At 39.7% G+C, this 15,480-nt stretch overlaps 1 annotated feature.

Annotated features, from left to right (window-relative positions):
• Positions 228–727: an enhancer, noted in NCBI's record as "H3K4me1 hESC enhancer chr12:59235169-59235668 (GRCh37/hg19 assembly coordinates)". NCBI's record gives its function as "activates a minimal SCP1, AML or CMV promoter by ChIP-STARR-seq in naive H9 embryonic stem cells {active_cell/tissue: H9 hESC(naive)}" and the evidence as "EXISTENCE:reporter gene assay evidence [ECO:0000049][PMID:30033119]".

The raw sequence follows: 15,480 nt of genomic DNA on the forward strand, positions 1-15,480 counted from the left end.
GCTTTGTTTACACTGTGAGGGTGAAACTGCCTACTTAAGCCTCAGCAATGGTGGACGCCCCTCCCCCCACCATGCTCGAGCATCCCAGGTTGAGTTTAGACTGCTCCTGTGCTGGCAGTGAGAATTTCAAGCCAGTGGATCTTAGGTTGCTGGGTTCTGTGGGGCACTGAGCCAGACTACTTGACTCCCTGGCTTCAGCCTCCTTTGCAGGGCAGTGAACAGTCTGTCTCACTGGCGTTCCAGGCGCCATGGGGGTATAAAAAAAAAAACTCCTGTGGCTAGCTTGGTCTCTGCCCAAAGGGCCGCCTAGTTTTGTGCTGGGAACCCAGGGCCTTGGTGGTGTAGGCACAAGAAGGAATATCCTGTTCTGCAAGTTGCAAGGACCGTGGGGAAAGTGCAGTATCTGGGCTGGAGTGCACGGTACAGTCCCTAATGGCTTTCCCTGGCTGGGAGACTGAGCTCCCCAACCGCTTGCACTTCTCAGGTGAGGCAACACCCCAGCCTGCTTCAGCTTGCCTTCCTTGGGCTGCACCCGCTGTCCAACCCGTCCCAGTGAGATGAACCAGGTACCTCAATTGGAAATGCAGAAATCACCCGCCTTCTGTGTCAATCTCACTGGGAGCTGCAGACGCAAGCTGTTCCTATTCGGCCATCTTGCCAGCAATCCCCATTAATGTTTTTAAAAATGATGGTTAAATACCTGTCACATACAATAGCAGCTGAGAATATCTAAAATATGAAAATGTATAGTGCTCTTTGGTTAAACACTTTTTCATAAAAAGTCAAAATTTTGCTGCACATAAGCTTAGCTATTGTTTGGACAAATATTATGCTCTCTCCTTTTTTTACAAAGGAAAGAGGATCAAAGAAATTGCTTGGCGAGAATGACATATCTAGTAAGTCCAAAACCCATGTTCTTTCCAAAATACAACACTAAAAACCTCATAAAATGGCACTTCAAAATTTGCATTGTCACAATTATGGAAGGTTAAAAATCTAGAAATGAATCCGAGTAGACATAAAAATTTAGTATATGATAAAAGAGGCATTTCATACCAGTGGAAAGGGGATGGATGATTTCATAAGTGATCTTGAACACTGTTAAATCATCTGAAAAAACAAGTTTCTTTCTCACATCAAAATAAATTCTAGATAGACCAATAATTTAAATGTAAAAGGAGAAATCCTGAAAGAACTACAGCAAAATATAGGTAGTTATTTCTATACCTCTGATATGAAAATGATTTACTAAATATTACAACAAAATAGAAATCATAAGAGCAGCAAGTGATACATGTGATTACATGAAATACAAAAATTTCTTTAAGACAAATTATTATATACGAAATTAATACAAACAACACACATGAGAAACATATGCATGCTATGCCACAAAGCATTATTATTAATATATAAATATTTCTTACATATCAATAAGAGGTGAACACTCTAAAAGAATAATGAAAATGTCTTAAATAGAAAATTCACAAAAATAAGAAAAAGAAATAACCAATAAACATAAGAAGAAATGCAATCTTACTATCACAGGGATTAACTAAGCTACAAGTTAGTATATGTCCAAATCCAGGATTAACTACAAGTTAAAAGATTTAAACAAGGGTAAATTACTTAGTTTAACATTTCAAACTATGAAAAAGTCTCTGTTCCTCATTTTCCTTGCCTTTGATATAATGGTATTAAGAGGAATTATGTCAGAATATTTCATACTGTTATTGTGAGGATTAAATTCTGTAATTCATTTTAAATGCCCTAAAATGTGTTTTTCTCGCATATAGTAAGTGCTGAAGAATTTTTAGGTAAACAATGAGAATTCATCTTTCACTTCTCATATTGTAAAAAACTTGTACACATCATAATACTTCTAATAAGCCATGAAGAATTAGACCCTGATATACACAGCTAAGTGAGTGCAAATTGATGGAGTCTTTCAAAAGGACAAAATATATCAAGCCTTAAATATATATATATTTAAGATAATATATATCAAGACATATATATATTAAGATATATATATATCTTTCTCAAAATATATTAAGTTCTGAGCAAATAACTAACATTTATCAAATGTGTTATTTTCATTAGAGAAAAGTTAAATAATCAACAATCTGAAGATGGTTAAATAAATTATGATATATCTTTAAAAATATGTGTATTACATATATGTGTGTGATATATATGTATATATAGTATATTTAGCACTATCTACATATTTGTACATATAATGTTTTATGTGAAAATAAGGTATAAAAGTATGATCAGATTTCAAGCAGGTAATATATATAACATGTATACACAGGTTATTACTGAACACAGCCATGGCAGATGATTTGAAATTTCTTTCTTAACTATAGTCTCCAAAGTTTTATAGTGATTAGTTTCATAATAAGAACAACAATAAGAAAAGTGTGGCATTGTTGTTATTGTTGCTTTCCTTAAAAGGACAAAGAGGGAGTGGGAAATAGAAAAATATTGCAATAAGCATTTAGGAGAAGTTGGTTTTAGATATCCATATGGTTCAGATTCTAACACGGTAAATGGGGACATTATCTCTAGGATATGCAACTCATTTAAGTAATGAGTGCCAACCCAAATCTTGCTAATGTATTTATAACAAAATAGATTGAGTGTTTCTTAAAACCATGGCAAAGGCTGTTAATATACTAGGCTAAGTCAAAAGCTAACTTGTTGACTTTCCCATCGACATCATATAAACCTTAGCAAATCAATCATCTAAATGCATATAAATAAGCAATTCACATGGATAATAGGAACATTGCATTTGGTTTTCTAAAATATATTTATTGGGCATCTAATTTCACACCAGTCCTATACTATACCCTGGGGAAACTGACCCTGCTGTAGCAAACTGCTCACTCAGGTTGGGGAGAGAGACATTTAACAAACACTCACTGTCAGATGGGAGGGGAAGTGTGGCATGCTGCTACTCAACAGATATTTACTAACTGCCTACTATGTGTGAGGTGCTGCTGCACACGCTGAGGATACTGCCATGAACGCCGCTATTGAATATCCCTTCCCTTACAGAGCTTACATGCTAGTGAAGGAAGAGAGAAAATCAAACAAATAAAATACAAGGTAGGTGAAATGGTGGTAAATTCTAAGAAAAAAAAAACAACTGGAAGGTGGGTGGTGAATCATGAGCAACCGGAATTAGGTAAAGAATCATGGAAGCCTGCCAGAAAAGGTAACATTTGATGAAGACCTACTGGAGTGAAGAGGGTGAGCCATATGGTATTTAGAGGAGGATTATTCTGGAAGAGGGAAAGGAAGGGGAAGAAGGAGAGATAAGCAGAAGAGAGGGCCCAGCATGGCAAGTCTAACACTTTCCTTGAACAGTAAGTAGTCCACATGGTTGGAGGCAGTGAGGAAGGAGACAATACAGCAGGTGATGCTGTCAAAGAGATGAACAGTAATTCAGATCCTATGCAATCTGGCAGACCAATGTAATGGTCTTTGTGTTTTACTCTGAATTCATGGCAGTGTTCCAAGGATAGGAATCACATGATCTCTATGTTATAATAGGATCACTCTGGTAGTTTTATTGAGAATAGATTGAAGGAATGCAAATATAGAATTAGGGATACCAACTATAAGTATATTGTACTTGTGCAGGTGATGATGCAGGTAGCTTGGAATGGGTCAGTGGCAAGGTATGAGGTGAGAGGTTGCTGGATTCTGGATATAATTTGAAAGCAGAGTCAACATAATTTGCTGATGCATTGAAAATAGGGTATTACAGGAAGAGAGAAGTTAAAAGTGACTTTTAAAAATATATATGAGCAAGGGAAGAATGAAATAACCATTAAAAAATAAGAAAAAGCTACAAGAGAAGCAGCTTTCGAGAAAGAAAGATAATAAGTTCAGAATGTGAAGTTCAAGACTCCAAATAGACATCTAATGGGAGACGTCACAGAGGCAGAGGTATAGAAGGAATCTGGGGAAGGAATTAGGGCTGGGATATAGACATGAGCGTCATCAGCATTTAGAAGTTATTTAAAGTCATTGGACAAGACAACGACTATCTTAAAGAGGGGCTATCAATAGAGATAAGAAGAGGTTCAAGACTAAGCCCCAGGACTCCAATGTTAAGAGACTGGGAATATAAGAAGGAATCACTAAAGGAGAGTGAGAAGGAGAATTTCTTACAATAGAAAGAAAACCAGTAAAATATCCTGGAAGCCACAAGAATAAACTGTTCTAAAGAAGCACAATGGATCAAGTGTAAAATGCTGTTGGTAGGTCAAGTAGAGGGAAGATTGAGAAATGACCATTAGATTCAGAAACATGGAAGTTATAAGTGACGAGGACAGAAGCAATTTTAGAGAAGAGGTGGGGGTACACTCATGAAAGGAAAGGAAGCCAAGAGTTAGATACAACTCTTCCAACAGTCTTGCAGTTTGAAAAATAGAAAAAGGAAAAAAATGGAGCAGATGAAGAAAGAAGTAAAATCCAGGTGGTGTCCAGATTTTTATTTTTAATGTGAAATAAATAACAATGGTCTGTATCTTTATAGGAAAAATTCAGAACACAGAAAAAGATAGATGATGCGAGAGGGGAGATTATTGGAGCAGTGTGCTTGAGTAAGCAATGGAGGACCCAGTGCACAGGTAGAGGGTGTCTTAGCGTGTGTTCTTACTAAAACAAAGGCTTATGTGTTAACATTTTATCATGAGGGTGAAATCCCACCCAAGGAAGCAGAAGTGAGCATAAAAGGAGTGTTGTCTGAAAGAAAAAAAAATCAAATATAAGAGAATATGTAGGATCTGACAATAGCTTTATGACAAACGAATTGCTTAATCTTGCAAGACATCTTCAGAGATACTATATCGGAGAAGTTAGTGAATTCCCAAAGAATCCATCTAAGGGGGAGACAGGGAGAAGAATTCGTTCAATTGTTCATGCCTCCCATATGTCAAAGTTGCCTCAACGAGGGAAGATGAGGGGTGGGAGGCAAGAGGTGTGCGTCCCTAGCAAGGAGTAAGGAAGCTGCCATTGAGTTATGCTTATGAATGACTGAAGACTTGAAGCAGCTCCCAGAGTACGCGCCTTGTCTGGTGGCAGCAGCAGTATGAACCTAGCTTTTTAATGGTGTAAACTGTCATTGCTGCTCCAGGCAGAGAAAAAGGAAAGTACACTGATCTGTGGTGATACATAAACCGTAAACAGTACAATAGGTTCAAACCTTTGGTTGGAGAATTGATAGTTCATCCAAGAGATGAACTAAGAGAGATGCCAAGTTATTTGGGCATAGATGGAGGTAGGTGGGTAATAGTGGGACTTGTAAAAATGCACTTCTGTTTGCCTCTATTTATCAATAAAATTATCTGAGAATGAGAAGAGGGGATGAGGAGGTTTTAGAGGCTTGTGAAGAGGGGAGATTAAAATAGTAATGTAGGAGTATTGGGGTACTTGTTTAGAGAGTCTGCCACTGCTTCCTGGGGAAGGGAATCTTGAAACTGAGACCTTAAGAATAAGCTGTAGTTATTCTAAAGAATAGAGGATTTATCTTCTGGAAAAGGGAATATAGTATGTGCTATAAGACCTGAAGACTGGGAAAAGCATAGCACATTTGAATCTGAATATTGTTGAGTCCAGTGCATGATGAGAAGAGTAGGTTGGGATTATAGAAATAGATGGGTAGAAGATTTGTTTTTCAGGTCTTATATTTCCAGGAATTGTATAGATAATATCTATGCCAGGAAATAAAAATTAAAAATATACTAAATCAACCAAAATACATTCAATTTTAAAATAGCTTATTATTCTTAATTACTTTTGATTAAGCAGGAGTTTGGTCTTTTCTGATGACATGGATAATAAAAATATCTGGTGAATTAGTTATTGAAGCACAAGTCAAGAGAAGAAATGCATGTCTACTTGGAAATTTCAGATACACTGGAAATTACTGATTTCCCTAATGAAAGTCACAATTAGCTTCATGAACAGTAAGCATAAGTGCAATTCACAAATATGAAAAGTATTCATCATTTCACACATAACAGACTATATTATCCTCAGCTTCTCGGTAATATAGCTTTATAGCTATTACATTGGAGAGGAATTTAATGATGTACTTATGATATTTAGTATCTTTAGTAGAAGCATACTAAGAACGTACTCAGAATTGCACAAACACACACCTATGCACAAACATATACATTCATAATTTTGCAAAGAAGCTAGATAAAATGTGAAATGCAAGAACATAAAAATAAAACCAATGACTATCTTGGCAATAAGAGTTCTTTCTCTCTACTTAGGCATCTCTCTGAAAATAAGAGTATGCATTAGCATCAATTTGGATAGTAATATGTTTCAATACTTACATCTCTAGGAGGTTTTTATTCTTCTCATAAATACTCAAAATATACTTGGACATAATGGCATCTAAAACTATAGAGAATTAAGGGCAAATTTGACGGAGTAATAATTCTCTATTTAAAAAGGTAACATGGGGTATATTCAAATTTTAGGACTTCATATAAACTTGCTAATATTTCTGTATTTATCTCACATGTCCTAAAATATATCTCTGAGGACAACCCTTTGATTTTATTCATTCTTCAATGTAGTATCAGTGTGTCTACTATGTTTTTAGAGTTATGTTAAAAGTTGTAGAGAATACAAAATACATCTCCTTGGGGAGATGCCCAGAAAATGCTTGTGAGAACTTCAGCTTTCCCTTTATCCCCCATTCAAATAAGGTAATCGGCTAGGCTTCTCTAACTGGAAGGGGAGTCTGCTAGAGTGCTTCCATCATTAGCCATTAAAATACAACGGAAAATTTAAGTCACCACATGCATGACATGCTGTGAAACAGGAAGGGGGCTGAAGTGGCTGTGGCGTGCCTCCATTAATTACTCCCATGGAACTGAGCACATGTCTAGCCAGGGTCTTTTACTATTTTCCAAATAATGAGTACTCTAATGGCTTCAGCTGGAGCAGCCCGTGCTCATTCCCATACTTGGCAGCCAGTGTTCTTTCCTTTCTTCCTTCCCTCTATTCTCCACACACACATTCTCCCCCCTTCCTCCCTCCCTTTTTTTTGGTCTAAATTTGATGAAGGTCTGGTTTTTACTTCCTGAAAGCTTAAGTGGTTGAATTAAATCCCAACTTACTTTGGTCAATCATCTAGGGAGCTCTTTAGGAATTGGGGAAACATTTTATTTATGACTCAGCTTTCCACCTGTGCTGACATGGCATGGAATTTACAGCTATTATTGAAAGCGTTATAACCAGCACCTCAGAAATTCCACATTCTCTTGAGCTGCATTATTATGGAACATTTGTCAGGCAGCCAATTGCTGTGTCAGCCCCTAATTGATTTATATTAGCATCTGTAGCAATGAAGTGGGGTGAGGGAGGGGGTGAACCTGGGCCCACTTTAGACTACCTAATTGCCCAGTTACCTGTGGACATGAGAGATTTGCAAAAGAATTGAACATATAGACCATATTTTTCTTTTTATTTTTATGCAATGTGTTTAACATTATACATGTTAATAAAGCCAGTATAAACTTTTATTACTCTGTGAAAAGTCCAGTGAGCTTAGCTTCTCCTTGCCATTATCACTTAACTATAAAAAACACCTGGCTCTAAAAGGTGGGCTTCATTTTTCCCTTGAGGGGGCATAAAAAAAAAACTTCACAATTTTTTCTTCTCACAACCTTATTTACACAAAAAAAGTAGTTAGCTTTAATAGTTCTTTTTTACATTTAGGCCTCACTCCTCCTGCATTAGAAATATACATTACTCATTTAGAAACACCTGGTCTGAGGTTGAGTCCAAGTGGAAGGAGCCTGAAGAAATCGGCAAAAGGGAGGTCATGGTGAGAATGCACAAGAGACGCATTCACTATAATTTTGGTTCTTGGTACAAATGGTTATATGCAAGAGTTCCCAAATAGTAGTGAAACTCCTAGAATGTCTTGGCAAACATGATTTTACCTGTTGGCATCTTTGGTGAACACCGTGATCCCTGCCACTTCCTAATGTATTATATCTGGCCTTGCCAGATGGCTGCCAGTCAGAACCACTCACTTCTTCTGGCTTCTGGACACTGTCTCTGCTACTCTTTGGGACCACATTGAGATAGTGGTAGAGATGAGCAGGAATCTATCCCTTCATCTTATTAATCTTTGCCTCCTTAAAAGCCTGCCTTTCCTTCCCCTACAGAATATGACAGTACATTTCTATGCATAAATACTCAATGAACCTTTGTTAAATTATCTATAGCCAACTCCACTCTGTAGCAATTCCATAAAAACTCCTAGAAAATGAAGTCTTTAGAGATCATTTTCTCATTTTTCTTGGTCTCTATGTTGAAATGCAGCGACAGTGTTCTAGAGAGCAGGTTACGTTACCTATTCTGAAGAGCCTCTGGAAGCTACAAAGCGAAGCTTTATTCGAATAAAGCTTCTCTTTGTAACCAACTTTCGGTGCTCTTTCTTCAGTAGAGGCTCATTGCTGACCCCAAGAACAGTTAAGGGACTTGCCCTAGGATCATTCAAAAAATACCAGCTCAACCACAATAAGAACATGGGAATCCAGCTTCCCCTGTGGGATCCTGGGTGCTTACACCCATTCTTTACAGAGCACTGTACAGTTTTCTGAGTGCTTTGGTATGTCATTTCCCTTGATCTCCACAACTTTCCCATGACAAAGACTATACTTTTTTCAATAACCACATTTCGTAAGTGAGGAAATAAAAAATAATTTCCAGAAGCACTCAAAGTATAGTTTCAAGTTAGACCCAACTCTTTGATCTCTAATGTATGATCATAAGTATAGCTTTTCCTTTAAATCTATAATATCAGAGTGAGATAAGTGAGGTAAGTGTAGGAGTAGGTCTCATTGTTCCAGAACAAATATAGTATTTGCTCTAGATTTTCACGGGCAAAAATAAAACCATGTTTCCTATTTGCCCCATGTTACTCAATAATAAGAGTAAAAAAAAAAGAATGTTAGTAGCTATCTTTATTTAATCTGGGTGCTGGGAATCATGCACTCTTGCATTACATATAACAGTCATAGTAACCCTGAAAAGTAGGTGTTATTTCCAATTTACACATAAAATAGAGGCTTAGAAATATTAATAATTCATATATTAAGTATGGAGTTAGAGTAGAGATTGGAGTCTAGATATGTCTGACTCCTAAATCTGGGATCTCGTTATTAAACTACTGTGCCACATTAAGTTATAAACATTTGTTTTGTTTGTGTAACATTCTCAGTGCTTGTTTCACAGTAATTAAAAAGCATTGATGAGGTCTGATATAATCATTTTTTATATCAGAAAGTTTCTCCCTTATTCTCATCCTCTTGACATATTTTCTCTTCATTCAATAGTAAATACCCAGACATTTCTAAAAATATGGCCTCCCTGAAAATAAACTCAATTGTAAATATTAAAACATAAAATAGATTTAGTTCATATATTTCTTTCCAACTATCCCCTCAGAAAGTCATTGAGCCTTCTTGATTGTGAAAAGGTAGATACATAATTTGACTGCTTTTACCAATAGGTATCTAACTGGTCACAAAGTAGTAACTTAATCATACAACACATCATTAGACTTAGCTTGTCATTAATCTTTACAATATGGTCAAGAGGAGTCCAGAGTTTATGAGCCATCTCGTTGTATTCTTAGAAAGCATTGCATTGGTGGGCAGGCATGATTAGTTACATCTGGCTACAGAGCGAAGACCTAATGTCTAAAGAAAATGATATTACAGTTCACAAGCTCAAACACAATTACATAATTGAGGATTAGGAACTACAGCTTCCAGTTCCACACAAAATATCTATCATGACCTAACCTCTTAAATAGGCTTTAGTTTCACTTACTTGTAAAACATCCGAGATGCTGTGGTTGGTTCTCAATTAGCCAAGATGACCACATATTTTAAGAATGATTTTCATTGACTCCATCTTCCAAGTCTATAAACTGAGTCATGTTTTTCCCCACCCTAAGTGTAACTTTATTTAATCCTGCCCTCCTTCAAGGTACAAACTCATCTTTCAACCTCCCTTCATTGACACACTCCTTGGTAACAGTTTACACTTGTCTTCACCTCAAAACCACTATTCAACTCACCTAGGTTCTACCACCACTGCTCTTCTGATATTGATTTGACAGAGTCATAAGAATGCTCAAAACTAAAGACCATTCTTGGCATGCCTTCTATTGGAGTTTTCCACAGAATTGACATAGAAAGAACATGTAGGTACATTCCTAGGTTCAGGCCCTGAAATTCTCTGTTTCTCTGTCTCCTTCTCTCTGTTTCATCAGTAATTTTTAATTGTCTACCAGATCTCTCTAACTGGCATATAAATATGCTGGGCTTTTACTTATCATCTTATAAAACAAAACCAAACAAACCTCTTTTTACCTAGTTTTTCTTTTGCAGTGACTGTTCTATTTCTTGTTCCTCTGATAGTAGAATTGAAAGGATTGTTTATTTTTTTATCTATTTTTTTCCCCTCCCACTCTCTCTTGAACCCATTGTAATCAAGCCTTGCACCCATGAATCCATCGAAACAGTGACTATCATGGTCACAAATGATCTCCACATTATTAAGTTTACTGATAAATTGTCAGTCCTCATCTTGTTAGCCGACTTGATATGGTCAGTATATTAGTCTGTTTTCATGCTGCTATAAGTGTTACCAGGGGTTCCTTGCTCCCAGAGCTACCAAGAAGGTGGCAGGCTGCATCCAAGATGGTGGCAAGCCTTGTGTTCTCTGACCTGGGGTTATTGGCCTCACGGATTCCAAGGAATGGAATCTTGGGCCATGCAGTGAGTGTTATAGCTCTATTAGAAGCTGTGGGTCACGGAAGAGAACCATGGAACCCAGTGACTAGTGTTCAGCTCGATTAGGATGAACCCGGGCACATAGCTGTGCAGGAACAATGGCAAGCCTTTAGCCCAATCCGGAGCAGCAATGGGTGCCTCACTGGATCAGGAGCACAGCGGACACCCTGCTGGATCTGGAGGGATGGAAGTCAATGGCGGGTCTGCAATGGCAGCAAACAGCAGTGGTGGGCGGCGAGCGAAAGATGAGCTCGAGCCATAATAAACATGGACCAAAAGAGAGTGCAGTTGCAAGATTTAATAGAGTGAAAACAGAGCTCCCATACAAAGGGAGGGGACCAAAGAGGGTAGCTGTTGCTGGCTCGAATGCCTGGGTTTATATCCCGATCATTGTCCCTCCCGCTGTGCTCTCAGGTGATAGATGATTGGCTATTTCTTTACCTCCTGTTTTTGCCTAATTAGCATTTTAGTGAGCTTTTCTTATTACCTGATTGGTTGGATGTGAGCTAAGTTGCAAGCCCCGTGTTTCAAGGTGGATGTGGTCACCTTCCCAGCTAGTCTTAGGGATTCTTAGTCAGCCTAGGAAATCCAGCTAGTCCTGTCTCTCAGTATCCCCTCTCAACAGGAAAAACCAACGGCTGTTGGGGAGTTTGGCCAACGACCACTTTAACTGCCTCCTGCTGAATCGGGGCATAGTAGGGGTTGTGCAGTTGAGATTTCCTTGGGAGGGGTGCCTTCAATGTCATTAACATTGGAGCATGGGCTAGCAGGCCAGTCCAGGGGTCCACAGTAGATTTTAGTCATGGACTGCATCTGCGGCTCCATTTGAAGAACTATTTGTAGTTTTACAGCTTTGATTCTGGAAGAGACAAACTTAACAAGGAGGGTAAAGATACAGGGATTGAAATGTATGGCCTGCAGTGCACGGGATTATTTCTTTGGCACACTTCACAGGCCCTGACTATCTGCTTGATAGTTTCAAAAAGGCCTGGTCCAGTAAATAATGATTTGGCCATCTGATGGGTGCTATCAATGCCTAAGTGAAAGGTTTGGTGAAGGGTTTTAAGTAATTTCCATTGGTTAGCTGCAGGCAGAAGTATTTTTTCTTCTTCAGTGGCTAGCCATCTTGAGGGGAGGAAACTATGTTCTCATGAGGTTCCCCATTCTATTTCTTCTGCTGAGTACTGGGGGTTGGTTTCCCAGAGGGGATTACCCCATACTAGGTGTCTTTCTATAAGCATTTCTAATGGAGGGTCCTGCCTTGAGGCTCTTTTGGCTTCAATATCCGCTTGGCAGTTCCCTTCTATTTCCCTTTCCTTTCCTTTCGGATGACCCCAGCAGTGTAAGACTGCCACCTCTTCAGGTTTCTGTACAACCAATAATAATCTCCTAATGGCTTCCTGATGTTTGATAGGTGTTCCCTCGGAAGTTAGGAATTCCCTTTCTCTCCATATTGATGCATGGGCATGGAGGACTAGGTAAGCATACTTAGAGCCTGTATTTATATTTACCCTTTTTCCTTCTCCGAATTCTAGTGCCCAAGTGAGGGCTACCAGTTCTGCCAGCTGAGTGCTAGTTCCTGGAGTGAAGGGATTACTTTCAAGTATTCCATTATCACTGACCACTGCATATCCCGCTTTTTGAAGTCCTTTTTGTACAAAGGAACTTCCATCAGTATACAAGTTGAGGTCGGGATCAGTCAAGGGAACCTCTAAAAGGTCCCCTCGAGTGGCGTAGGTTTGAGCAATTACTTGTTGACAGTTATGTTCTATCTTTTCTTCATTGTCTGGAAGAAATGTGGCTGGGTTAAGAGTTGCACAAGTGCGCAGTTGCAGCACTGGCCCTTCAAGTAATAGAACCTGATATTTAAGTAAATGGTTATCTGACAGCCACAAGTCTCCTTTAGCAGTGAGTATGCTGTTCACATCATGAGACGTCCACACAGTAAGATCTCTTCCCTGTATCATTTTAACTGCTTCAGATACTAAGACTGCTACTGCCGCCACTACCCATAAACAATGAGGCCAACCCTTTGCAACAACATCAATTTCCTTACTCAGGTATGCCACGGGTTACAAGCTCATCCCTCGGACCTGTGTAAGGACTCCTAGAGCTATTCCTGTTTTTTTTCTGTGACATAAAGAAAAGTCATGCCCCGTTGGCAAGCTTAACACTGGGGCTTAGGTTAGGGCCTTCTTTAGGGTCTGGAAAGCTGCTTCTGCTTCAGGTGTCCATCTTACTAAATGGGTATTGGCTTTCCGAGTCTCCTTAATTAGTGTATATAATGGTCTGGCTATTTTGCCGTACCTGGGAATCCATATTCGGCAGAAACCTGTTATGCCAAGGAACGCTCTTAGTTGCTTTAGGGTTTTGGGATGAGGATAAGCCAGTATAGGCTGGATACATTCCTCACTGGGGGCCCTGGTGCCTTTGGGTAATTTTAGCCCTAAGTATTTAACCTGCTGTGAGCAGAGTTGAGCCTTTGGTTTGGAAACCTTGTAACCACAGGTAGTGAGGAAATTTAAGAGTGCTTGGGTGGCTTGATGGCACAAGGTTTCTGAACAGGCAGCTAAAAGTAAATCATCCACATGCCAAAGGACAAGAGTGTCCAGGTATGAGAGCTGGCTCAAGTCTTGGGTTGATGCCTGGCCAAATAGATGGGGGCCATTCCTGAACGCTAGGGGTAAAACAGTCCAGGTGAGTTGAGATGTTGAGTTTGAAGGATCTTCAAAGGCAAACAAGAATTGAGAGTCAGGATGTACAGGGATGAAGAAAAGGGCATCCTTAAGGTCCAGGAGTATAAACCACTCTGCTTTCTCTGGTATTTGGGAAAGCAGAGTGTAAGGGTTAGGTACAGCTGGGTATAGAGGAACAACAGCCTCATTGATAATCCTGAGATCTTGCACTAACCTCCACTGTCCGTTGGGTTTCTATACTCCTAAAATTGGAGTATTGCAGGGTCTATTGCATGGTTTTACTAGGCCTTGGGCTTTTAGGTCCTTAACAATATTTTGGAGTCCTTGTTGGGCCTCGGGTCTAAGGGGTACTGCTTTTGGTAGGGAAAGGAGGTGGAATCCTTTAGTTTAACTTGAACAGGATGGGCATTCTTTGCTCATCCATATTGTCCTTCTGTTGCCCAGACTTCAGGATTAATTCCTTCCTCAAGCAGGGGACAACAAACAGGTGTTCCTTCTCCTATGTTCAGGTGTATAACGGCCCCTGCTTTGGCTAGGATGTCTCTCCCTAACAAGGGAGTGGGGCTTTCAGGCATAATTAGAAAAGCATGTGAAAAGAGTAAAGTTCCCCAGTCACAACTTAGTGGCTGGGAGAAGTATCTAGTGACTGGCTGTCCTAGGACCCCTCGGATAATGACAGATCTGGAGGACAGTTGTCCAGGACAGGAGAGTAAGACTGAGAAGGCTACGCCAGTGTCCAGGAGACAGTTAACCTCCTGGCCCTCAATGGCCAAGCATACTGGAGGCTCTGTGAGGGTGCTGGCATGGGCTGGCACTTGCCCTGGGCACCCTCAGTCCTGCTGCTGGATTATCTGGTTAGTGGCTTCTGACTCAGAGGACCTTCATCCCCTGGGTCAGTGGGCCTTCCAGTGATTCCCTTGGCATAAGGGGCATGGACGAGGGGGTGGCTTATTTCTACTTGGACAATCTTTTTTAAAGTGTCCTTGTAGACCACACTGGAAGCAAGCCCTATTAGGCATTCAATTTTCCCAGCTTTTCCCTTTTCCAGAGGCTCCAAAGTCCGCTTGCCTGAGGGCCATGACTAAAGCGGTGGCCTTTTTTGTATCCTGTTTGTCCCGTTCCACTTGCTCCTCCTGATCTCTATTATAAAAAACCGAGGTTGCCAAGTTCAATAGGGTTTCTAAGTTTTGCTCCAGGCCTAAGGCAGACTTTTGAAGTTTTTTTTTCTAATGTCTGCAGCTGACTGAGTGATAAACTTATCTTTTAAGATTAGTTGGCCTTCAATAGAGTCAGGTGACAGGGAGGTATGCTTCCTCAATGCCTCCCTTAGTCTCTCCAGAAAGGCAGTAGGATTTTCTTCCTTTCCCTGTTATAGTGGACATCATTGAATAATTCATAGGTTTCTTCCTAGTTTTCCTTAAGTCCTTCTGGCACGCAAGTTACCAAATATCTGCGACACCAATCTCCATGTTCTGATTCTGTGTCCCAGTGGGGGTCTACACTGGGAACTGCCTGCTGGCCTGTGGGGAATCGTTCTCTTTCCTCTGTTGTCATCCTATCATTGACCTGAGTGAGATACCAGAGATCGCCAAACTCTCAGGCTGCAGTTATGGCGGCACTTCTCTCATTTGGGGTTAGTGTCTGATTTAGCAGTAACATTATATCTCTCCATGTCAGATCAAAGGATTATCCTAACCCTTGTAAAACATCAATATAGCCATCAGGGTTATCTGAGAATTTACCAAGGTCTATTTTAATTTGCTTTAATCTGAGAGAGAAAAAGGTACATGCACTCTGGCTGGGCCGAATTATCCTCCTCCCACTGCTTGGAGGGGGCATAATCGGGGAATATTGGCACTCTTTGGTTCCTTGTTTACCCCTTTGTCTATCTCCTTTTGGACAGTTTGGGTTAAAGGGGGGTCCTTATT

The sequence above is a fragment of the Homo sapiens genome, chromosome 12 (genome assembly GCF_000001405.40).
Source record: "Homo sapiens chromosome 12, GRCh38.p14 Primary Assembly".
NCBI classification, from domain to species: Eukaryota; Metazoa; Chordata; class Mammalia; order Primates; family Hominidae; genus Homo; species Homo sapiens.